Below are 25,801 nucleotides of genomic sequence, written 5' to 3'. Positions count from 1 at the left end.
CACATGAGATGTCAGTGATAATAGTACCTCCCCCTTAACTGGCTTGTTGTGATTTGAATAATGAAGAACTTCAACAATGCCTCTTTTGTGCCACCTTTTTAGCTGTCACTCATGTGACCACAGACAGTCCTCCAATGGCCTTTTCTCTGCCCACCCTTTACACTACACTTAAAGTCACAGAATGCAGCCCCAAGCCCATCCATGAAGATCCTAATTCCTTGCCTTAAATTGTATGCCTAGTGTTCACAAACCTATAAACCCACCAGATGCCAAAATGGTACCCACCAGATGCCAAAGTGGTTCCCTTCCATGCTCTTGACCCCAGCCACACAGTGGTCCTCACAGTGCAAAGCCACAGTCCTGGTGTCCTCACCTACCAAGTCCACATATGTCATAATATTGTGATTAGATATGTGTGCTCCAGGGTCAGACCACTTAGGAGAGAATTCTGGCTCTAAAACTCACGAACTCTGTGAACTAGGGTAAATTACTGAGCCTGTCTCTTAGCTTCAGCTTCCTTATCTGTAAAATGGGGATGATACAACTGGGGCTTATTGCAAAGAGTGAATGCAGTAAGGTACATAGTAGCTAGTATAGTTTCTGGCACATAAGAAACACTCAATAAATGTTCATTATTATTATATTACACCCTGAGAATAAATCACTAGAGTTATGCTCTAACATATGATTTAATGGCTGGCTGACATAACTGCAGGGAAACCCTAAAAGTGAATCCTTTTTTGCCAGGCATTATATTAGGCCCTATCATATAGTTTAATATTCACAAACACTGAAATAAATATCGTTATCACTGTTTTTACAGGTTCATAGAAGTGACTTACCCAGAGTTAATTTGCCTATACAAAAGAACAGCTAATAGCTGTCCAAAGTCCCAGTTTTCTCCACTAATTCATGGTGCCTCTCTCACACTTTGGAAAACTTGAGACCTTCTCATTGGTGCTACAGTTAACACTGAAATCAGCAACACACTCACAGGTTTAATCTGCTGTCCAGAAAGTTGCCCTGACTCCTACCCACTTCAGCTTCTGTCCACAGTTCATAAGGATGCAACCATCTACACAGCTGCTGGACTGTCATCACCTTTGAAGTTTTATTTATAAGTCCACAAAGCATGTGTCTTTACAAAAGTAATGGGTGGGACCCTCAAACACTAATGACTTCCCAGCAGGGGCACAGTTGTTGGTTTATCTCAAAGGCTTTGAACCCTGGCTCTTCCAAGCTTCTTCACAGGGAAAGGCTCTAAATCAACTCATCCTTTATGAGCCGCTAACTTCCTGAACTGGAGTTGGAGGCCTCCTTATTTGGAGGAGACAGGGACGGGTCTGGGACAATGTCTGAGCTGTCCCTTTCCGTCTCTGGCATGGAACACTCCCTGGGGTTGGGAATGTGCCCTCCTCCCCTTGTCGGTGAAAGCTGCACCCCTCTCATCTCTGTGCACAAACACCATCCTCTGTGCTGCCTCCTCGGTTTCCTCCACTGTCAGCAAGTGTCATCTTCGATACTTCAGGGGGCTAAATCCCAGCAAGACCTTGCTGAAGTTCTTCCCCTAATGAAGATAGACGGGCACATTGAAAAGATGATCTGAGTCTCCTCTAGAATTTCTTCTCTCAATTTCTGTATTCTCTTACGAACAAAGTACAAGGTTTTTTACTCATTCTCATTTCCAGAGTCAGAATGTTTCATTACAACAGATGTGTTCACTTGATGTGGACAAATCTCTTCTTTTTAGTCAAAAATTCTTATTACTACAGTAATGGATCTGCATTTGCAAACTGCTTAGAAAACAGGAACAGCCAGCCGGGTGCAGTGGCTCAAGCCTGTAATCCCACCACTTGGGGAGCCCGAGATGGGCGGATCACGAGGTCAGGAGTTCAAGACCAGCTTGACCAAAATGGCGAAACCCCATCTCTACTAAAAATACAAAAATTAGCCGGGCGTGGTGGCAGGCACCTGTAATCCCAGCAACTCGGGAGGCTGAGGCAGGAGAATCGCTCGAACCTGGGAGATGGAAGTTGCAGTGAGCTGAGATCGTGCCATTGCACTCCAGCCTGGGCAACAAGAGCAAGACTCCATCTCAAGAAAGAAAGAAAGAAAGAAAAAGAAAGAAAAGAAAAGAAAAGAAAGAAAGAAAGAAAGAAAGAAAGAAAGAAAGAAAGAAAGAAGGAAAGAAGGAAAGAAAGAAAGAAATCAGGAACAGCCTAATAAAAGCCATACTTTTTTCTGAGTTCCTTGGTATTTTTTATGTTCCTCTATTACTATTTTTAAGACCATTGTTTATATATCTGGTTCTCCAGCTAGTCTGTAAATGCTTTAAGAGCCAAAACTTGGTTTTATTCATTTTTGTAACCTCAGCAAAATGCTCAGTTTCCTGAAATGCAGCAGGTGATCAACAAATGTCTGGATGAATGGATTTAATAGAATCCTCAGACTTTAGAGAAGGAGAGCCCTTGAGCAAATCTAATCTGAATTTTTCTCATTTTACAGTACTATCTTTTCACTGAATTCCAATCAGGCTTAAAGATTACAGAGATGGCAATAGCATCAATTAACTTCTCCTATTCCTTCCTTTTGTGGTCCTTCTAGCCACTCAAGGGGCATGAAAGGAGTTCCAGGCTCCTCCATTCAACCAAGTTCTTTACAGTTTATCAAGTTTCCCCAAAATAATATGCTTGGCCAGTGTCAAGTTGAGGGGCTTTTCTAATGCTGTCTTATTCTCCTCTTGGAGAGTCCAACCTTGCAAATCTTTGTAATATTCACGTTTATAATAATATAAGTAGCAGACATTTATTGAAAGGTACTCCATGCCAGGCACTGCGTTATGGCTTTACATACATTGTCTCATATAATTCTCATGACAACCCTATGAGGCTTAGACAAGATAAGTGGTTGCCCAAGATGACACAGCTAATAAGTGGCAGAGCCAGAATTTGATCTAAGTCCAGCTTCTGAGCCCTACTTGTTTAATCTAATCTAGCTGAGAAAATCACCCATATTTTTCTCATGTAGCTATTTTGAGGGTTTTATTCTTAAGGGTCAACTGCTTTTATTATATCATGAATATGAAGTATTTCTAATGTATTGATGAAAAGTATTAAGTAGGAAATAATTGCATTCCTAAACTAACCCCATAAAACAGGATAGACTTCTACTATGAAACATCTTTGAAATGAGAGTTCAGAAGGAAAACAGAACAGGAAAGCACATGGAAACCCAAGGTGCCGATCATACTTGCTCAATGCACTGGCCAGCAGTTGTCCTTCAGAGCGAGCAGTGAAGTCACAAGAGATCATCCACTCTGTGTAAGGTAACACGTCTTGATTAAATTTTTAAAAGGAAGAAAAGTGTAACCTCTGTTCTGCCTACTTGAAGGTTACAACATATGCAAGAGGCCAATGTTTGCTCTTACTGGCTGTGGAAGCATATCATGTAACTTGTGCCTACTCAGGAATCAAGTTTGGGAAGGGAATTCCTACAGATGAATTCCAAGTAGCTGGCTTTATTAACATCTTGGGACATTAAGTTGCTTCTAACCTAATTATTCACGCTATTTTCAACCACAGATTGTGTCATCGCCAACACTCAGTCCAAAGACTAAAATAAAACAATCCTTGGAAAATTCCAGCAGCATTCTCATCAGCAGGCTCTGACCTTCAAAAGGCTCACTGAAATGCCTGTGCAAAGGCCCAGCATTCTCTGCTCCTTCTGAGCATTCCCAACTCAGACTATTCGCAATCTCAAATTCTTTACTCACTCCCACCTGCTTGGCAAAAGACTTTCCCTACCGAGACGTGCCACAACTTTTAGGAAGAACTCCACTAATTAGAAACACTGCACTGACAGTGGTTGTGAATAAGTTGTGCCAGGTGTTCACATGTCCTTAATACCAGCCATGTTTGGTTATTTATAACACCAAGTCAGGGCAATGGAATGCCTGGTCTTGCAGGCTGTGTCATATGTATTGCAGGCCATACATTGCATTTAATCCATATCACAGACTAATTAAAGGCACTAAAAGATATTGTTTTCAGCTCAAATTTTGAAAGAGGAGAGAAAGAAGTCTAAAATGTATTAAATACCTACTAAAGTCCAGGCCTTGTGCTGGGAGCTTTACTTAATGTTGCCTCTTTAATTCCCATCACAGTCATACAAGGGAGGTATTACTGTCCCCATCTCACAGATAAGGAAATGTAACCGCTGAAGGATTAAATATCCTGCCCAGGTGGGTGGTAAAGACAGGATGGGAACCTGGATTATGTGAGCCCAAATTCCATGTTTGTTTTCACCAGCAGATCAAAATTTCCCCCACACTGCCTAGTCTGGGACCAAAGCATAGGAATAATGGTTTAAAAGGTACAGATTCTGCAGTCAGGCTTCCTGGGTGTTTAATCTGCTCCACTCAGTTTCTAAGTATGTGACCCATCAAGTTACTTAACCTCTCTTAACCTCAGTTTCCTCACCTTAAAAAAAAAATAGAGATCATTATAATGCTAACTCACAGATTTTAATTATTTGACAATAATTATGACTGATATTGTTTGGTTGTGTCCCCACCCAAATCTCAACTTGAATTGTATCTCCCAGAATTCTCATGTGTTGTGGGAGGGACCCATTGGGAGGTAATTGAATCATGGGGGCCGATCTTTCCCATGCTATTTTCGTGATAGTGAATAAGTCTCATGAGTTCTGATGGGTTTATCAGGGGTTTCCGCTTTTGCTTATTCCTCCTGTTCTCTTGCCACTGCAATGTAAGAAGTGCCTTTTGCCTCCTGTCATGATTCTGAGGCCTCCCCAGCCATGTGGAACTGTTAAATCCAATTAAACCTCTTTTTCTTCCCAGTCTGGGCTAGGTCTTTATCAGCAGCATGAAAATGGACTAATACAGTAAATTGGTACCAGTAGAGTGGGACATTGCTGAAAAGATACCCGAAAATGTGGAAGTGACTTTGGAACTGGGTAACAGGCAGAGGTTGGAACAATTTGGAGGGCTCAGAAGAAGATAGAAAAATGTGGGAAAGTTTGGAACCTCCTAGAGACTTGCTGAATGGCTTTGACAAAAATGCTGATAGTGATATGAACAATAAGGTCCAGGCTGAGGTGGTCTCAGATGGAGATGAGTATCTTGTTGGGAAATGGAGCAAAGGTGACTCTTGTTATGTTTTAGCAAAGAGACTGGCGGCATTTTGCCCCTGCCCTAGAGATTTGTGGAACTTTGAACTTGAGAGAGATGATTTAGGGTATCTGGCAGAAGAAATTTCTAAGCAGCAAAGCATTCAAAAGGTGACTTGGGTGCTGTTAAAAGCATTCCATTTTAAAACAGAGCATAAAAGTTCAGAAAATGTGCAGCCTGGCGATGCAGTAGAAAAGAAAAATACATTTTTGATGAGAAATTCAAGCTGGCTGCAGAAATTTGCGTAAGTAGCAAGAAGCCTAATGTTAATCCCCAAGACCACGGGGAAAATGTCTCCAGGCCATGTCAGAGACCTTCACAGCAGCCTCTCCCATCACAGGCCTGGAGGTCCAGGAGGAAAAAGTGGTTTTTGTGGGTTGGGCCCAGGGTCCCCATGCTATATGTGGCCTAGGGACGTGGTACCCTGTGTCCCAGATGCTCCAACCACGGCTGAAAGGGGCCAATGTACAGTTCGGGATGTGGCTTCAGAGGGTGGAAGCCCTAAGCCTTGGCAGCTTCCATGTGGTGTTGAGCCTGCGGGTCCACAGAAGTCAAGAATTGAGGTTTGGGAACCTCCACCATGATTTCAGAAGATGTAAGGAAATGCCTGGATGCCCAGAAAAAGTTTGCTGCAAGGGCAGGCCCTCATGGAGAACCTCTGCTAGGCACTGTGGAAGGGAAATGTGGGGTCGGAGCCCCACACAGAGTCCTTTCTGGGGCACTGTCTAGTGTAGCTATGAGAAGAGGGTCACCGTCCTCCAGACCCCAGAATGGTAGATCCACCGACAGCTTGCACCATGCACCTGGAAAAGCCACAGACACTCAACATCAGCCTGTGAAAGCAGCCAGGAGGGGGGCTGTACCTTGCAAAGCCACAGGAGTAGAGGTGCCCAAGACCATGGGAACCCACCTCTTGCATCAGCATGACCTGGATGTGAGATCTGGAGTCAAAGAAGATTCTTGTGGAGCTTTAAAATTTGAGTGCCCTGCTGGATTTCAGACATGCATGGGCCCTGTAACCCCTTTGTTCTGGCCAATTTCTCCCATTTGGAACAGCTGTATTTACCCAATGCCTGTACCCCCTTTGTATCTAGGAAGTAACTAGCTTGCTTTTGATTTTACAGGCTCATAAGTGGAAGGGACTTGCCTTGTCTCAGATGACACTTTGGACTGTGGACTTTTGGGTTAATGCTGAAATGAGTTAAGACTTTGAGGGACTATTGGGAAGGCATGATTGGTTTTGAAATGTGAGGACATGAGATTTGGAGGGGTCGGGGTGGAATGATATGGTTCAGCTGTGTCCCTACCCAAATCTCAACGTGAATTATATCTCCCAGCATTCCCATGTGTTGTGGGAGGGACCCATTGGGAGGTAATTGAATCATGGGGCCTGTCTTTCCTGTGCTATTCTCATGATAGTGAATAAGTCTCACGAGATCTGATGGGTTTATCAGGGCTTTCTGCTTTTGCTTCTTCCTCCTTTTCTCTTGCCGCAGCCAAGTAAGAAGTGCGTTTTGCCTCCCGCCATGATTCTGAGGCCTCCCCAGCCACATGGAACTGTAAATCCAATTAAGCCTGTTTTTCTTCCCAGTCTGGGGTATGTCTTTATCAGCAGCATGAAAATGGACTAATACAATGACTATGGTCATTTTCTTTCCCCCAAGCCTCATCAACTGTTAAATAAAATATTGAATTCTTACTACAGGCCAGGTACTACACTGAGGGTTTTTTAATGAATTATCTTGTTTAATTCTTACACTAATCCAATGAAACAGCAGTAACTAACACTTCTTAATCACTCACTACATACCAAAATCTGTCTTAAACACTTTACTCGTATTAACTAAATAACTAATAACTATTCATGTGAACTAGTGAGTAACTGGGGCAGGCAATATTGTTGTCTCAATTGTGCAAGTAAGGAAAAGGAAGTTCAGAGAGGATAAGTAAATTGCCACAGTCACACAGCTAGGAAAAGATGAAGCCATGTTAAGGACTCAGGAAGCCTGACTTAGGGGGTTCAGTCTTAACCTCTACTCTCAGGTTTCTGGGCCTGGGCTAGGCTACGAAAGACCTAAGAGTTCTGAAACATATCAAAGTTACAAGATGTTTAACATGTAAGGATGCTATAATACTCTGTAATCAAATGTCCAAAATATGCAAAATATGCGATAGGCCCAGGGGTGAGGATGGTGGCCTGTGGGTTCTGGGGAAACCTTCCTCAGGAATCTGTGGCTTTCATTGATTGGGGTTAGTCAGGAGGTGAGGTGGGGGGAAAGTACCTCAGGAGGGAGACTCAGTAAGTGCAGACAGGTAGACTTGAGGGGAAGAATAAGGAGAGTTACCCAACTAAGGAGGGGTTTCATAGAGCAAAATAGAGATAAAATAAGACATGAAGACAAGGACAGTTTACAGAGGACCCTTGACAACAGTCTAAACTGGGACATCACTTACAAGGGGCAATAGGAAGCACCAGATTTTTTTTTTTTTTAATTGAGATGGTTGTTGTGGGGGGTCTCACTCTCACCCAGGCTGGAGTGCAGTGGTGCAATCTTGGCTCACTGCAGCCTCCACCTCCAGGGCTCAAGTGATTCTTGCACCTCTACCTCCCGAGTAGCTGGGACCACAGGTGTGCACCACTAGGCCTGGGTAATATTTTGTATTTTTGGTGGAGACATGTTGCCCAGGCCAGTCTTGAACTCCTGAGCTTAGTGCTGGGATTATAGGTATAAGTCACTGCACCCAGCTGCAAGCATCAGATCCTTGAAGAGAAAAGCGACCTGATGAGAGTACCCTGTGCAGCACAACTCAGTGTGGAGCTGGAGCCAGATGGTGGCTCTGCAGTGCCCCCCATTCTTGACTGAAGGGCCAGCAGCGGGAGAGAGAAGGAAGGGCCAAAGCAGAATCAGTGGAGTTCAGTGAAAGATTGATGCAGGAGAGCTTTAGCAGAGAACAGGTCCACCATGTTAGGATCGGAACCAGGCCCAGTAAACACTGAATTCCCACACCTGGCTCTGTAAACGACCTACTGACACAGAAAACAAGTTTGCTAAATACATGTATAAGTCATCCAGCTGCCAGCTCAGGCTCTTCACTTTGCACATCAGAAAACAGATCCCAAAGGTTATGTGAATTAACCAAAATTATGAAAATATGAGCAGCAAAATTTAAACTAAACTCTCAAATCCTAACACTTATTCCAGACTTTTTTTCTGCTATAACTTGCTCTCAAATTGGGAAGTCTCAGCGACTATAATATCAATAACAGATGTCATCAATAACAGAAACTAAGATTTGGGGAAAGATTGCCGGGGTTCTTAGATAATATTAACTTAGTTTTGAAAATGTAAATACTGACTTGATGGCAGAACTTCTGATTAGAAATGTCCTGTAAGCAGTTTTCAATTTGAGACAGAAGTACAAATGAGAATTAATGACTAGAGACAGAGATATTTGAGAATCACAAATACAGAACTATTAGCTGAAGGCGTGCGGAACATATTTGTATAATATCATGAATAAGAAATGTTTTTGGTTTCTCATTACTTCAATTAAATATTTTTTAGTCTACTGAAGAACTGTTGAACAAGCAGTGCACTTAGCTGCAATCAGCATGTTAATGTTGTCAGAATCACTTCATTTGCACATGTCAATCTTTGATCTGCCTGCATACAGAATGATTTGGGGACCGCTGCATTGACCAAACTATATTAGTGCCCCCTGAAAAGCATTGCCAGGGCTCCAGATCTGTTCTGTAGGTCCTGCTGGAATTTCTATTCTGTAAGTTTTGCTAGATCTTGCCAGCTATAGTTTCCAAGGCAAAGCAAAGATCTTAAAACTTTTCTCAGATTTAGAGCATATGTTTAGGCTATACATGAAGCAGAGGCCTTAGATGTAGATATTTTCACCCTGTAAGATTTTTCCCTTTGGCTCCCTAAATGCAAGGGGTCGACCCAAATCAGTAGATTAAGTCTGTTATCAATGAAGTTAGACATTGCTGAATTACTGTCATCTAAAACAACACCTGTTTTCTCAGCATGGACTCTACATAATTCTATACCAACCCAAAACCTAGTTACTGAGCAATGGGTACCCTACACTGCTTTATGGGAAAGGACAAGGCACTCTGAAGTAAATATATATATATATCTTTGGAGAGGTTATCAGGTTCACTGATACAAATTTTTAAATCTTTTGGGCTTTGTAGTGAGTTGAATGTTGGTCCCACCCAAAAGATGTGCCCAACCAGAACCTGTGAGTGACTTACTTGTAAGTAGGGTCTTTGCAGCCATAATTAAGTTAAGGATCTTGAGGTGAGCTCACCCTGGATTATCCAGGTGGGTCCTAAATCCAATCACCAGTGTCCTTATACAGAAAAGGAGAAGACACAAGCACAGGGAAGTCCCTGTGAAGAGGCAGGCAGAGTTTAGAGCTATCAGCCACAAGTCAAAGGACACCTAGTCCCACCGAAAGCTGGCAGACATAAGGCAGGACTCCCCCCTAGAGCCTTCAGAAGGAGCAGGACCCTGCTGACACCTTGATTTTGGACTTCTGGCCCAAAACTGTAAGAGAATAAACTTTTGTTATTTCCAGCCAACATAATTACAGCAGCCATAAGAAGAGAACACAGAGTTCATGAAGTGAAAGACTTTTATCTCTTTTGATCCCCTTGGAACAATGATCTCAATCTTATCTTCAATAATTCAGTCTTTCAAAAATGCTACTCTCTTGGCTCCAACAAATAGGAATTATCATTGAGGTTAAGCGAGTTTTTGGTGCAGCAGCCAACAGGTAGAAATTATCTATATTGATATTTTTTTTCTTCCTGGAAAGGCACAAGAAATTCAGAGTTCATATCTTATAAGCCAATTTTGAAATCACATACAACATTCCTCCATTCCTTCCCATAATCGCCTCGCTGTTGTCGGATAAAGCACTGTTACCAGCAGATGAGCTTTGTTACACTGTCAGGGTTGGCTTCCGTCAATTCCTTACAGGGAGTAAAGCTGAGTTTTTACAGAGGTGACCAAAATCACCACCTGAGTGCACTTACTGAGAGCTTCATCGCCTGACTCACCAAGTTCCTCTCCACTCTAATACTGACGTCAGTTTGGGCAAAATAAACATCCATGTGAAATACCCATCCAACACCCAAAACAGAAAATTCCTTGACTTTTTAGACTCCAGTTCCCAATTCAGTTCCATGGGCAAATCCTAAAGCTTGTCTTCGCTGCCAAGCCTCCTCCCCAAACCCTGGCCCCTTAAAAAATGACCCACAATTCCTATATGGTGGCTACTGATTGTGAATCCTGTCAACCAGCTTGTTATATCCAGTTTCCACTCCACAACCTATAAACTAACCTGCATCACATCTCAGTTAAAAGGAATCCTCCACTCATTGAAGCTAGACTCTCTACCTATACTAGATTATTAGTCTTCTTTTCCCAATAACAATTCCTCCTTCCTCTCTCTCTACCTATCTCTCTCCTGTATATTTAATAGCGTCTTCTCAAAGGCTGTTCCCGCTCAGCACTTCCCAGAGACTGTTGAACTCTCTCTTAACTTGGACATTGCTCTCCACCTTTGACTTCCCACAGCCCAGCTTCTTGGAAGTGCGGTCACCATGGGTTTTCCCACTTCCTCACCTCTTATTCACTCTCAACCTCTGATGCTCACTCACATACTTCAATGAAACTCTTGCAACAAGGTCACACAAATACAACAAAAATGTCTGTCGTTACACCTGATCTCTCAGTAGCTTTCCATGCTGTCGCATTCTCCTTGTCACACTCTCCTCCCTCTGTTCCTGCGTATTATGGACAGAAAGTTTATGTCCCCCCAAAATTCATATGTTGAAATCCTAACCCCCCCAGGTGATGGTATTAGGAGGTGAGGACTTTTGGAGGTGATTAGTTCATGAGGGCAAAGCCCTCCTCAATGGAATTAGTGCCTTCATAAAAAGACACAAAAGAGCAGCTTTCTCTCTCTTTCTGCCACTTAAGGATACAACGAGAAGACTGCCATCTGCAAGCCAGGAAGAGGGTCCTCACCAGACACTATATCTGCCAGCACTTTGATCTTAGATTTCCCAGGCTCCCAAACTGTGAGAAATAAATTCTGTAGTGGAAGTCACCTGTCTATGCTATTTTTGTTATAGCAGGCCAAACTAAGACACTGGGACACCATTATCTCCTGGGTCTCCTCAAGCTTCCTGAACCATTTTTTCTCATCCCACATATTTACATGGTTCTCCCTTCTTCTCTTCTTGCACACTCAACCTATATACGAATGATTCCAAAATTATCTAGATCCTAAATGCTTTTCCTGAAGTTGATACCAACTGGGTGCTGGGCGGTATCCATCTTTACACTCTGTGAGTACTTTAAATTCAACATTTAACTAAATACCTATTTCCTCATGAAGTCAATTTTCCTATCCCAAAGAGTGGGTACCACCACTCACTCCATGGCCTCTTTACTGTTGATTCTCCCTTCTATTTCTCGTGCCAATTCCCCACTCCTGATCTCCTATCAATGCCGTAGTTCAGGCCTTATTGATTCCCCCTCTAGACCACAGCCTCGCAGAAGTTCTCTCTCTGCCTGTAGCCTCAACCCTTTCATATCCATTGTCCCTGTTGCAATCAGAGGAATTTTCCCAAAATGCAAATCATGTTATCGCTTAAATCCTTCTATCTACAAACCACTTAGCCTGACCTAGAAAACCATTTGCTATCTGCCTTCTATCTCTTTCTAACCTAATTTCTTGTCCCTTTCTTCTTAACCCACTATTGTTATGCCAAACAACTTGTAGTTCCTGCATAAAACACACCTTACACCTCTCTCCTTTGAACTAGCTGTTTTCTCTGCCTGAAGTAGCCTTTCCCATCCTTGTGTTGCCTCACAAACTCCTCACCATTCATAAGGCAACCCAGGAATCCTCTTCTCTGAAAGGTTTTACCTGAGTCTAATCTGTGACCCTCACAACTGCCCCAATTTAGGCAATCAGGCATCCTTTCTCTTCCTTCCTCCAGTACCCTAAACACATTTCAGTTCTAGCATACAGCATACTATTTTGAAACTGCTTTTGTCTATATTTCCTCAACTAGTCAATGTGTATGTCTATTAAAGTAAGCCTTTAAATCCTCCTCATCTTCTTGACATCAGTTATAGCCCACGTTAGAAATTTAGTCCATTTTGATTGAAATATTTTAACATCTGATCACCTGAAGAGTTTGGGTGATCAAGGTTGGTCTAGCAGTTTATGGGACGGAGAAACCATGTCCACACAGATTTATACTAGCAGGAGGGAGAAATTCTTTCCCAACAGAGAAACCCACAGAAGGGAGAACAACTAGGAGGTGGGAATGAGCATAATGTATCTGGAAGGAGGGAGGAAACTGATCTGACCCAAGCAGAAGACATTGCTGGGTGGGTTGGATGGGATGAAATTGTGGAAGGTCTCATAAGGGTAAGAATGAGACTCGGTATACTAGCTTGCTATGGCTGTTGTAACAAATTGCCATTAACTCAGTGGCTTAAAACAACAAAAGTTGATTACCTTAAACTTCTGGAAGTCAGAAGGTAGAAATGAGTCTCACTGGGCTAAGATCAAGGTGTTGGCCAGACGGTGTTCCTTTCTGGAGACTGTAGGTGAGAACCATTTTCTGATCTTTTCCAGCTTTTTAGAGGCTGCCCTTATTCCTTGGCTCACGACCCTCTTCCAGCTTCAAAACCAGCAAGGGCTGGTTGAGTCTTCTTTACATCCCTATACTATCACACTTTCTTCTGCCTCCCTCTTTCACTTTTAAAGACCATTGTGATTACACTGGGCACACCCAGACAATCCAGGATAACTTCCCAATCTCAAGGTCAGCTGATTAGCAACATTGACTTTATCTGAACCTTAAATCCCCTTTGCCACGTAACCTAACATATTCACAGGTTCTAAGGATTTGGATACGACATCTCTGGGGGGCCATTATTCTGCCCACCACACTCAGTAACTACTTGGAAACCTCTATCCAGCTCTTAAGCCTTAAATGCCACCAGGAAAACATAGAGCTCCAGACTGAGCTGCCCTAAATCACCCTCTCTGAAATCTTGCACAACTGAGTCATGATGAGGTTTTTTGTTTTTTTTTAATTTGCCTTTGTGCATAAAATATTGTTGGGGCCCAGCACTCTTGCATTGTGCCACTCTGCTGCCTATATGCACACAAAAAAATGTAACAGCAGATATTCTTGTAACACCTTAATCACATACACATACACAGATAACATGACAATTTTGAGTCTTTCTCTGTGTATAGATGAGGTTGGCCCTGAGAAATGGGCCAGTTGTCATACTGTGGGATGCCCACATGCATAATATTTTAAATTATTTTAATTTGCTTAACTGGATCTGGTTCCTATTAACATGGTAGGAGGCACTGTGATTCCCATGACACTGACAGGGCTGTGTGAGTCTCTCACTTTTGTATAACACTAATTAATCATGACAATACAACTATCTCAAATGCAGTTATCATCTTTCTTAGAGCTCAGAGTTTCACAGAATTTATCCTTTTTCTTTCAAAAATATTCCTACAGGGTTACCAGCCGCAGGATCACTATTTGAGATTAAAATAAGAAATAATTTTCTTACATCAGTGAAAGGCAAAAAGAAATTTATAAATGCAATGCTCTAACTGAAAAAATAATCACATCTTTTATTTCCAAATATGCAAATTGTGAATTGAAAGATGTTTAAGTGAAGATTTCTGAAGTTAACTTACCTCTATCTTCAAAGTATAGGCGACCATGTCTTCATTCACTCATTCTTTCAACACATATTTCATATAAACTTTCAGATATGAGATACCATTCCCTAGAACCCACAAGACAGATTCAACAAGACAATGTCAATGTCCTCAAGGAGCTTACTGTTAGTAGGAGACAGACCATACACTTTTAACAAACATATGAACAAATAAATCATCTTTCAGATAATGACGAGTGCTCTGAATAACAACAACAAAATAGTGCCAGGTAAAAGAGAGAGAATGTGAGAGATAATAGAAAAAAGGTTATTTTAGTTTGGATGGTCAGGGAAGGCCTACGCAGATATTTGAATAAGGAGCAAGGCATGTGAAGAAATGAGAAAAGGGTGAACATGCCAATTTGATTCCATTTAACAATTTTTTTTTTTTTGAGGCAGAGTTTCGCTCTTGTTGCCGAAGCTGGAGTGCAATGGCGTGATCTCGGCTCACCACAACCTCCACCTCCCAGGTTCAAGTGATTCTCCTGCCTCAGCCTCCCGAGTAGCTGGAATTATAGGCGCTTTAGTGCCACCACATCCGGCTAATTTTTTATATTTTTAGTAGAAACGGGGTTTCACTATGTTAGCCAGGCTGGTCTCCAACTCCTGACCTCAGGTGATCTACCTGCCTCGGCCTCCCAAAGTGCTGTGGTTACAGGTTTGAGCCACTGCACCCGGCCCATTGAACAAATATTAATTAAGCATAGACTATATGCCAGTCATGGTTTTTGGTGCTGGAGAGAAAGCAAGTATAAATAACCTGCTTACAACAGAACAAGCCTGAATAGATCAAGAAACGAACAAAAATGTAGCATTACGTTGCGTCCATAAATGTCTTTACCGAACACATTTACCCTCTAATTATCTGACAAACGATATAATTATCAAAAGCACAAAATCTTAGTGGTAGAGGTCAGTTAAACTATCTCTCTTCCTAAACTTGGTTTTCAAATTTTTGCAATAGAACTATTTGTTTAAATAAAATAGTATGTGGAATTCCAACATAAACAAATAAAAGTGGTCTGCTCCAGGGAAGGACTGTGAAAGTCCACAGTCCTACCTATTCTCCCTCCCCTCAAAGCCCCTACCACCATTTTGCAGCAATGTTAATTTACTGGTTTTGATCACTGGATCATTTGATCATGGTTGTGTAAAATATTAACATCAAGAGAAGCTGGGTGAAGGATATATGGGAACTCTGCATACTAGTTTGCAACTTTTCCGTAAGTCTAAAGTTACTTCAAACTAAAAAGTTGAAAGAAAAGTAATCCTACCATGATCACTACTGGCAGCCCACCTTAGGGCGCTGGAGACACCAGCTGACATCATTAACCTTGATCATGCTGGGCTGGTTTAGCCTATTTACTAAGGACCTTCAGAAGAGGGGAATTCCTTTCTAGGTAGCCTCATCTGGTTTTTAACCATTCTCAACACCAGAAGATTCTTTCCTATGACTCTTTCAATCTCTAAGATAAACCCACTTTTTCAAGTTTTGTCATCAGTGGAAAATTAATTTGTCTTCTCTAAAAACCTTGTGATACATTTATAGACCTTGTAATTTTTCATCAACTTTCTTTCCACAAATTAAGAGCAATGCTTTCATCTTTTCTCATGGGTCTTCTACTTCCATTTTTGAATCATTCAGAAAACTCTGCACTGCAAGTATTTTTTTACCTTCTTAAACTACGGTGTTTAGAGCTCATCACTGGATTTTAAATAAATAAAAGAGGCCTCAGCCAGTATCAAATACCTTGGGTAAAAGGGTTGTATTATCACTCAGACTTTATACACATTATTGCTATTGGATATTACTGCCTTAACAACCTCTCTACATTACCATATTTTGTTTTTTCTTACACATTTTTTCACACTGCTTATGACAGTCATTAAGCCAAGTGCCCCAGGCATTTGCTCTTAACCAATGAACAGCCAGAGCCAGACTGGAAACTTCAAGTCTTTCAGCAAGTCACAAAGTGCCAAAAATGCTCTCTCGCCAGAAGACAAATTTCCTGAGTTAGAGAAAGTAGAAATTCGTTCTGATCTCATTCACCTGAGATCATTCAACAGTCAGATAAGTGAACTGATTGAGTCTGTGACCCTGTCTGTTGGACCTCTCCTTGCTTTAGTTCCCTGCCTGAAAAGCAAGGATAAGAGTGTTTACCAACTTTGCACGGGTGTTGCAAGAGTTGATTAAGGCTTATATGGCACCATCTGATGACAGTCTCTGTGGCTGTGCCACTCAAGTTGTCAAAGGCTGTGAAATGCCCGTGTGCCTCAAGGGCACTCCGTTAAAGCTCAATATCACAACTCTAGGTGACTTGCTGTGGACCATAACTAGAATATGACCCAACTGTACTTTCAGACATGCATGCCGAGCGCCAGTAAGGCTACCATCCAAAGCTGAAAAGCAGTTTTTCTAATGCTGCAGGCTCATGCACAAGGCACCAAAATAGCACCAGAAATACTATACCCATATTGCTTTATCCTAGACATCTGACACTTATAAAGCTGATGCCAAATTTCTTGTCACATATGTGTCTGGAAGCCTTCGTGCTGAGAGGCATTTCTTATCTTCTGACATTTCAGAGAGCTGCATAAAGCTAGACAAGCACAGAGCCTCCTTCTAAAAGGCATGAGGCAGAGGCGAGCATTCTTTTCAGATGACCTCTGAAACCCTCATTGGAGGAGATCCAAGACACCCTTCAGCACATCTGTAATCCTCAGGATATTCCAAATGTTTGAATGTGCAGCTTCCAGTTAGTAACAGCCAAACTACCCTGGCTCTCCAAGGTCATCTGAAAACAATTTGCCCATCAGCCAAATGAGAAAATGCTATTGTAAGCAAACCAATCATAAGATCAGACAATCCTCAGGGGCCCAGGGCCCAGATGCTCTGCCTCTGGTGACACAGGCCACCCCATCTATTACACTCGGGCTTCTGGTTGATGCTAATGACTGTTGTGACTGACACCCCCAAACAGAAACAAAACTAGGATATTTGGATGTGATACAATAATAGACAATTTCTAGTGATTCCTTTCTCTTCTCACCTTACCTACGCAAATGCCTGACAAAGTGGGTGCCGTGTAGACCTCCCCCACAACTGCCAAAGAGCAGAGGGTTCTAGTAGGAAAGTCCCCTAAAGCAATGTGTGTCAGAGTAACCTGGTTTTAAATGCAAATTCCTGGACCTTATTCCAGACCTTTGAATTAGAACCTCAGGCAAATGGGATCCAAGAATCTACATTTTGAACAAATTCCTCAGATGATCTTTTTTTTAACTTTTTATTTTCCCAGATAATTTTTATACACACTAAAATTTTCAGAAATCTGATGGAATTTTCAAGTAAATTAAAATTCATACAAACCCTCAGCTCATTGGGAGGGTTTCTGGCCACAGGCCTATATTTAGTGGTCATTAAGCCACTACTCTAAACACCCACAGGCAAACCACTCTGTGCTCAAGAGGAAGGAACAAGTTTCATGATTTCATCCTTCTCTCAGCCTCACTGTTCACGCTCCTCTTTTGGAACAATAGGCACTGCCATATGATGCTTCTGGCACCAGTTGCCTTGTATTGTTTAACTTTTTGTGTTCGTTTTTTATTGCTGCCATAACAGATTACCACAAATGTGGCACAAATTTATTATCTTACAGTACTGTAGGTTAGAAGTCCAATACAGAAGTCACTGGGCTAAATTCAAGGTGTCAGCAGAACTAGGTTCCTTGCTGGAGGCTCCAGGGGTAAATCTGTTTTCGTGCCTTTTCCAGCTTATAGAGGCCACCCACACTCCTTGGCTCATGGCCCTCCTCCATCTTCAAAGCCAGAAATGCTGCATCTCTGATTCTTCACATCTCCTTCTGACTCTCTTCTTCTGCCTCTCTTCTCCACTTTTAAGGACCCTTGTGATCATACCAGGGCCACCCAGATAATACAGGATAACTTTCCTATCTCAAGGTTCTTAAGATGTGATTACATATGTGATTACATTTCGAAAGTCCCTTTTTCCAAGTAAGGTAATGTTTTCACAAGTTCCAGCGATCTAAGATATGGATATCTTTAAGGGGCCATTATTGTACCTACCACAACTTTCACCTGTAATATGAAGGATGTCTTCATTTGGGCTCCTGCAAAAGCAGACCCTGAGACTAGGATTTGAGTAGAAGTCCCACGAAGCCCAGTAAAGGAGTGGGGCAGTCAGGTAGTAAGGGAGGAAAGCAAATAACTTGTGAGTTAAATGAGCAGGATACTACTACAGGCAACTAGACTAAATTCTCCTAGGGACTGTGTACAACACACATTAGAATAGTCCCACCTCGGGGAAAGGAAACTGGAGCATTTATCCACCAGTTCCCATCATTTTGTAGTTAGGGGTCACATTAACTCCCAGTGCACTTCCAGCACTTCATGCTTCCCTGCCTGTGAACGGGCTCCACAGCTAGCAAATATTCCTGGTGGAGACACTCAACAGGCTATAAACTTGTTCCATCTGAGAGACCTCCGGAGTGGACCAAGAAGATATGAGTGGGTCATCAACAGCATCTGAATCAAGGGGGTTGGTGTTTGAGCCAAGTGTGGCATTACGTCTCAAAAGTTTCAATGCTCATATCCTTTGACCCAGCAAATCCACGTCCAGGGAATGCGTGCTAAGAGTATAACTGCAGACAGGTGCAATGATTGCTTATAATATTTTAAGGAATTAGAAATTATTTAAATTCCATTAATAAGGGATTAGTTGAATAACTTATGGTGATACAATTGAACATTCTGCTACATTTGGATATAATTAGGTGGGTCTACATTTATTGATAGGGAAACCAGTTCCTGACATACTGCTGAGTGGAAAAAAAAAAGCAGGTTACAAATAGTAAGCATATTATAAATCCATTTATGTAAAATTATGTATGTATAATATATATGTGTGTGTATGTATAGCAAGATGTCTCAAAGAATGTTCATCAAAACTCTAACAGTAGTTATTTCTAGGAAGCAGAATTTCTCATCCTTTATACTTTCTTCTTCATGCATCTCTGTATTACAAAAAAATTTACAATAAACAATGTATTGTTTATTAATCAATTACAAAGACACTTGCAATTTTTTTAAAAAAGAATTCAAATTTGCCCTAAAAGATAAGCTTCTATTTAGTTCTAATATGATAATGTCAATTATCATTATACATCTCCATTTTAAAACTACATGATGCTGAGGACCCCCTTGTATTACACAAAATGCTTAGGGCATATTTGGAACACAGCAGGTACTTAATAATAATTGACGTTCATCAGTATGAAATTCAATAAAACAACACACGGAACAAACTGGGTCATGGTAAAATTTTCACAATGCATGGGATGACTCCCTAGGGAGCTGAGAGGCCTGGCGTGGCCTTATCAGGCAGGGGCCTGCTCTGGCAGACAAGGAAGGCCTGCCCTTGCACAGACACACCCATGCCATCCCAGAGATAGCATCAGAGCCCTGCTCATCTTAGGTAGAAGTGAAAACAAAGGCAACTGTAGGCTTGCAGTTTTATAGCATGAACGAGACAAGTGGAATCTGTGTTAATCTGTTAGAAATTAACTCAATGGTTTGTCTCCTGAAACTCTAGGCCTTCCTTGCAAGAGCACTCCACTTCCTGTTATGCACAATGGCAAAGCTGACTGGAACTGCCCAGAGGAAGAACAAGTGGAAGAGTAAGTCACGGTGTGCCCATAGGGCAATAGAAATTTAAAAGAATATTTAGGTGTGGGACTTCACATCCATGCCTCTTTTTCATGTCTAATAGGGAAAATGTCTCACCTGCTCAGGTTGCTCTTGGACTCTCATTTGTTGCTCAGAATCTAAATAATGAGCAAATAGAGGGAAAACAGAAGAGTGGAGAAATCCCCGTTTGTGTATATATTAAAGAGCTGAGAGAGGCAGCAAGAGGAAGGAGGGAGAGAGACCAGAAAATCATGTGGAATAGGTGCCAGGGAGTTTGGGGTTTGTGAGATAATAGTTGGAGATTAAGAGCTTTGGGGATCACCTGATATCCATATGGAAGAAAATGAAGATAACAGTAAAGTAGATTTTAAGATGCTTTTTCTATAGTAAGAATGCATACCCCACACTAACATCGAATTGTATACTTTAAATGGATGAATTGTATGGTATGTAAATGACGCCTCAATAAAGCTGTTTTTTAAAAAAGAATACTCCGTTCCAAAAAAAAAAAATGCACACTCCACTTTGGCAGTTTACTGAGAGACTGCAAAAATATTTGAAGAATCCTAATTACCATTTAGATACCAGACCATTCCTTTGAATTCATTCTTTCACAGAGGCTGAGTCATGTGGAACTTCAACTATGTTTAGGTTCTGGTAGGTTAGAGAAAGGACCCTTAAGATCCTCTAGTCTAATGCTCTCATTTCAAAGGTGAGGAAATGAAGCCACAGAGGTTAAATAAGTCTGCACTGTCACACAGCAGCAAAGCTGGGAACTATGGAGGTCTGATCTCAGGTCTTTCGAAATGCACCATTCCACCCCCATGTGATGCTCTTCCTGCTTTTGTTTACAGAAAGAAACAATTTGAGGATAAGCATGATTAGAACATATAGTTATTATGCCCATGGTTCAGTCTAGTTGTTCTGACCTTTAAAACGAGTCAGTCAGACTGGCACCAGTCCAATCAGTTGCACACCACTGCCCAGCTAACAGCCTGGCCATGGAGATCCGGCCTTCCCAGCCCAAGCCTGTAGAACAAACAATCCCCACAATGGCAATGTTACTTTCACCTCCTTTTGAAGAACAATAGGAAAACAACAATAGATACCTAACATTTATTGGACACTTATCAGTGCAGCAACTTGGGCAGAGTAGTCAGAGCCCTATGACACTGAAATTTAGAGAGTTCAAATTTTAAGTAAGAACTTTAAAACTACTAGATGTCACTAATGTAAATAACACCCATCTGTGAATCACATCAGAAGTTTACAAAGTTAATTATGGGATCGCATTTCTGATGCTCTCCCAGGATGGCTCTGGCGCCTGCTATGTGCTAGGCGCTGGTCTAGACATTTTACATATGGCACCTCTTTTAATCTCCACAATAATTCCATCACATGGGTATTAATCACCCCACTCTGTAAGTAAGAAAAAAAAGAAAAAAACTGAAAACATGATGGGAGCAGGACCAGGCACATAAAAGATAAGTTCTGATGTCAAGAAACAGCCTTAGGGCTCAAGGAGGGTATCTTTATGATGTAACTTAAGTCTGTACCAGAAGAGTTCTCCTTTATCCCTAAAGAGTCACCTCAATGCGTATCATTCCATCATTAGTTTCACCCTTTTTTTTTTTTTTTTTTGAGACAGAGTCTCACTCTGTTGCCCAGGCTGGAGTGCAATGGCACGATCTTGGCTCACTGCAACCTCCGCCTCCCGAGATCAAGCGATTCTCCTGCCTCAGCCTCCCAAGTAGCTTGGACTACAGGTGCTCACCACTACGCCTGGCTAATTTTTGTATTTTTTAGTACAGACGGGGTTTCGCCATATTGGCCAGGCTGGTCTTGAACTCCTGACCTTGTGATCCACCCACCTCGGCCTCCCAAAGTGCTGGGATTACAGGCATGAGCCACCACACCCAGCCTAGTTTCATCCATTTTTAACTTAAATACCGTTAGTAGTCACCCATAAAATTGAGAATACCCCTATGCATTGATCAGAGTCAGCAATGCTATGTTACAGAATAAGCTGGAATCTCAGCAGACTAACATGATAAAAGTATTTCTTGCTCATGCAAAGTCTGATGCAGATGTCTGGAGCCATTTTAGAGGACCAGGAATGAGATAAGGAGAGCATGGTAGATATGCAGGATATTTCAGATTCAGAGCATGGAAGATCAAGAAGCTTACAAGTAGAGAACACCATTTCCACCCACATTCCATTAGCCAGAAATCAGTCACATGGCCAACCTAACTGCACAGGAGTCTGAGAAATGTAGGGAAGTGCAGAAATGGGTGGGCTTTATAATATCCACCACCTTCCCAAAATAATTCTATGTTTGGTTCTTATTTGTCAGCACATCAGTTAACAAGAATTAGTAGCAACAATAGATACAAGTAGTATGTAGGAGTCTCTTCTTCAGGACAGGACCAGAAAGGAAGAGATGGAAAAGGGACAGTGACAGAGACATATATACATATTTAATAATTTTATTGGGTTCTGCCTGACTTGAAAGATCTATCTACTAAGCCTTGCTGTGTCTCCAGCTCATTGGCTGATACTTCCAATAACTTTGGCTGGATGCTGAATTAGACTTTAAGTTTTGCAAGTATAATTTCTTCCAGAGATATCAGAAATAAAGCTATTTATTCATTTTAGGTACTTTGACAAATAGGTACTTTGGGATCTACAACTGAATAAATAAATGTTTTCCTGACAAGTTGAGTATAACAGATTTTAATGAAGTGACATTTTTTCATTTTATTTCTACCATAAAATTCAACAACAAAACAAGTTGGCCCTGAAAGGAAACAATAATCAAATTTAGGAATGTATCAAATTTTTTAAATTATATATAAAAGGAAAAGTATAACTTATTAAAACTTTAATAATAACTATTAATGCACCACCCGACAATTAAGACAGAAACCTGGCTTGAAACCTTCTTCTTCACTCAGTCTATCCAAGCACCAACTACATGTGATTTTATCCCCAAAATATCTCTCAAGCTTATCATATTCTATCTTCTATCCCCATTGACACTACTTCAAACTTTCTCACTTGGAGTGACATCACCTCCTAGATGACCTCTCTGCATTCAGTCTTGCCCACCTTTTCAACCCCGTACCCCTGAGAGCAATGTGTTCAAAACTGCAGGGTGCAAGGGGATCTTCTTGGAAGGTTAAATACACAGATTCCAAAGTTTTCCACCAGGATTCTGATTCAGTAAACCCAGTGTTGACAAAAAGAGTCAAACTCTGTAAAATATTTGAAGAGATTTATTCTGAGCCAAATATGAGTGACCAACGGCCTGTGACACAACCCTCAGGAGATCCTGAGAACATGTGCCCAAAGTGGTTGGGGTACAGCTTAGTTTTACAGATTTTAGGGAGACATGAGACATCTATCAGATACACATAGGATGTACATTCGTTTGGTCCAGAAAGGCAGGACAACTACTTGGAAGGAAGGGCCTCCAAGTCATAGGCAGATTTAAAGACTTATTGATTGGCATGGATTGAAACAGTTAGGTTATTGTCTAAAAACTTAGGACTGTCTGGGTTAAGATAAGGAGTTGTGGAGACCAAGGTTTTATCATGCAGGTGAAGCCTCCTGGTAGCAGACTTTGAGAATAGATTGTAAATGTTTCTTATCAGACTTAAAAAGTCTGTTCTATCAGTAATTCCAAAAGGAAGGAGTTCCAACACCCCCTTCCCATCATGGTCTAAAACTAGTTTTTCCATTTAACTTTGGAATGCCCTTGCCAAGAGAAGGGGCCATTGGGATGGTCAAGGGGATTAAAATTTTATTTTTGCTTTATACCAGGATGGAGTTCAGGGCTCTGAATTTTTAACAGGCACAACAGAAGATTTTAATGTATGTGCTCTTGGGAGAAATACTGCTCCACAAAAAAATCTCAACAAGAATTCCAAATCTCAGTGGTCAGTCCTTTGTTTAAAGCAATTGAATGGCTTTCCAGTGACTACCAGATAAATCCCAAGACCCTTATTATAGAATATAAGGCACCATGACACAGGCCTGGAGTATCTTTCCAGCCTCATATTTCCCTATTTCTCCTTAAACCTTACAGTTTCAGAACCACCAGTGCCAAATTATTTGTATTTCCTGAGCACACTACATTGGTTCATGCCTCGACATCTTAGCCATGTCAAAGAAGGATTTTTTTCAGCCCCTTTGCTGGATTCGCAGCAGGGGTGCCCCCTCTACTTGGCCTGCCATGCTCAGCCCCTTGCAGGAGGGAGCATGTGAGCGAGCAAGTGTGGAACCTGGCCAGCCACTCTGACCACCAACACAGGAGCAAGCTCTGTGCAGGGCCCATGGCCAAGCCAGGCATGTTACCTCGAAGGGAATAGGGCAGTGCCCAGGGAGGGATGCCCTTGACCCTGAAGCCCCAGAGCAGGTGTTAGTGTGATAATTAGCTCTTGTAGTTCCACTGTCCGCAGCCTTATGGCAGCATGTTAGCAGCTCAGTCGGTCCATTGCTCCATTGTGCAGGGTGGCTGCTCTCTGCTGGCAAGGGCAAGGGCCAGTACTACAGCTTTTCAGAGTACCTGTGCTCAGTGGGTCCTAAGCTCTTGTCCAGCAACCAAGAAAAATGACATCACACTGATGACTGAAGGGTGATGACAGCAGAGGATTTTATTGAGTGACAGAACAGCTCTCAGAAGAGAGGGGATGCAGGGTGGGAGGAAGGTACCCCCGCCCCCACAGTCGGGTGGTTTCTCCCTGTGTGATTGGGTCTGGGGCTTTTTATGGACTCAGAATGGGGAGTGCATGCTGATTGGTTTGTGAGTATGCAAAAAAGTTTAAAGCAAAGACACCACTCAAAGGTGGGCACCACAATGTAGAAAACCAATTAGGAAAGGGTAGGTATATGTAAAATGGGTGAAAGGCAGAGACCAATCAGAGGAAAGCACACCAAATGGGAAGACAGGTTCTCAATCTGGTCCCAGCATTTAACTTGTAACTTGGCTTTCAGGCTTTACATGGTCTTCGACTTGGAGGTGGGATTTTGCTGGGGACTCACCCCTATCTGCCTAGGCATCTGACTGCCTCCTGTCACTATCAATGTTGTTCCTGCTACCCAGAATTTCCATGCCCATTGTCATCCTGATAAACCAGCATTTACCTTCAAAACTGAGCTCAATTCTTTTGTTAATTTCTTCTAATATGCCACCATTGGCAGAGTTAATGTCTTCCTCCTCTTTCATCATCCTGTCTGTTCTGACCTTTGAAGTACTTCTATTACTACACATCTTTGTTTACATTCCGCTCATCCCCTATCTAACCTCCTTACGTCATCTCAGTGCCTCGCATGTAGAAGGCATTAAATAAACATTGTTGAACTATAACTAAATACAAAACATGAGCTCTTTGGGAGCAGAAACAAATAAAGATTCCTCTTTAGATTATTTGGTCCTTTAAGTTAAATATTTCAGTTCAGTTCAGTTTATACAATTTTTTTCTTTCTTCATTATTCATTAATGAATTATTCATTTCCTTCATTAATTCTACAAACGCTTTTTGAAAGCCTACTATGCACATCATTGTACAATAATGCTACCTAAAATCCAGTGTTTATATGCTAGAAACTATTAGATACAGTATTTCTTTACCTTTTATTCTCTACAGGTCTTTCGTTAATTTTCTTATGTAATGGTTCCTGTCACAGGTAGGAGAGTACTTTGAAGACTGGCATCTTTTGAGATACTAATAAATGTTTCCCTCCCAATAAAACTAAAATGTTTCCCAAATAGTATAGTATAGTGTTAAAATGATATCCATACATTTGTGTTTCTACCTCATGGGCTTCTTTGGGGAAGTACATGAGAAAGTTAATAGCAGCCTACCAGCCTACCATTTAACCCACATCCCTAATCAATCAATAATTTTTTTTTTTGAGACAGAGTTTCGCTCTTGTTGTCCAGGCTGGAGTGCAATGGCACCATCTCAGCTCACTGCAACCTCCGCCTCCCGGGTTCAAGCGATTCTCCTGTCTCAGCCTCCCGAGTAGCTGGGATTACAGGCGCATGCCACCATGCCCAGCTAATTTTTGTATTTTTAGTAGAGATGGGATTTCATCATACTGGTCAGGCTG

The 25,801-nt window shown here is 41.7% G+C and overlaps 3 annotated features.

Annotated features, from left to right (window-relative positions):
* Nucleotides 11,743-12,281: an enhancer, noted in NCBI's record as "OCT4-NANOG hESC enhancer chr4:129283869-129284407 (GRCh37/hg19 assembly coordinates)". NCBI's record gives its function as "activates a minimal SCP1, AML or CMV promoter by ChIP-STARR-seq in naive and primed H9 embryonic stem cells {active_cell/tissue: H9 hESC(naive and primed)}" and the evidence as "EXISTENCE:reporter gene assay evidence [ECO:0000049][PMID:30033119]".
* Nucleotides 23,992-24,530: an enhancer, noted in NCBI's record as "H3K4me1 hESC enhancer chr4:129271620-129272158 (GRCh37/hg19 assembly coordinates)". NCBI's record gives its function as "activates a minimal SCP1, AML or CMV promoter by ChIP-STARR-seq in naive H9 embryonic stem cells {active_cell/tissue: H9 hESC(naive)}" and the evidence as "EXISTENCE:reporter gene assay evidence [ECO:0000049][PMID:30033119]".
* Nucleotides 24,565-25,143: an enhancer, noted in NCBI's record as "OCT4-NANOG hESC enhancer chr4:129271007-129271585 (GRCh37/hg19 assembly coordinates)". NCBI's record gives its function as "activates a minimal SCP1, AML or CMV promoter by ChIP-STARR-seq in naive H9 embryonic stem cells {active_cell/tissue: H9 hESC(naive)}" and the evidence as "EXISTENCE:reporter gene assay evidence [ECO:0000049][PMID:30033119]".

The sequence above is a fragment of the Homo sapiens genome, chromosome 4 (assembly GCF_000001405.40).
Source record: "Homo sapiens chromosome 4, GRCh38.p14 Primary Assembly".
In the NCBI taxonomy this organism is placed as follows: Eukaryota; Metazoa; Chordata; class Mammalia; order Primates; family Hominidae; genus Homo; species Homo sapiens.
This window is presented reverse-complemented; position numbering and strand designations above follow the sequence as displayed.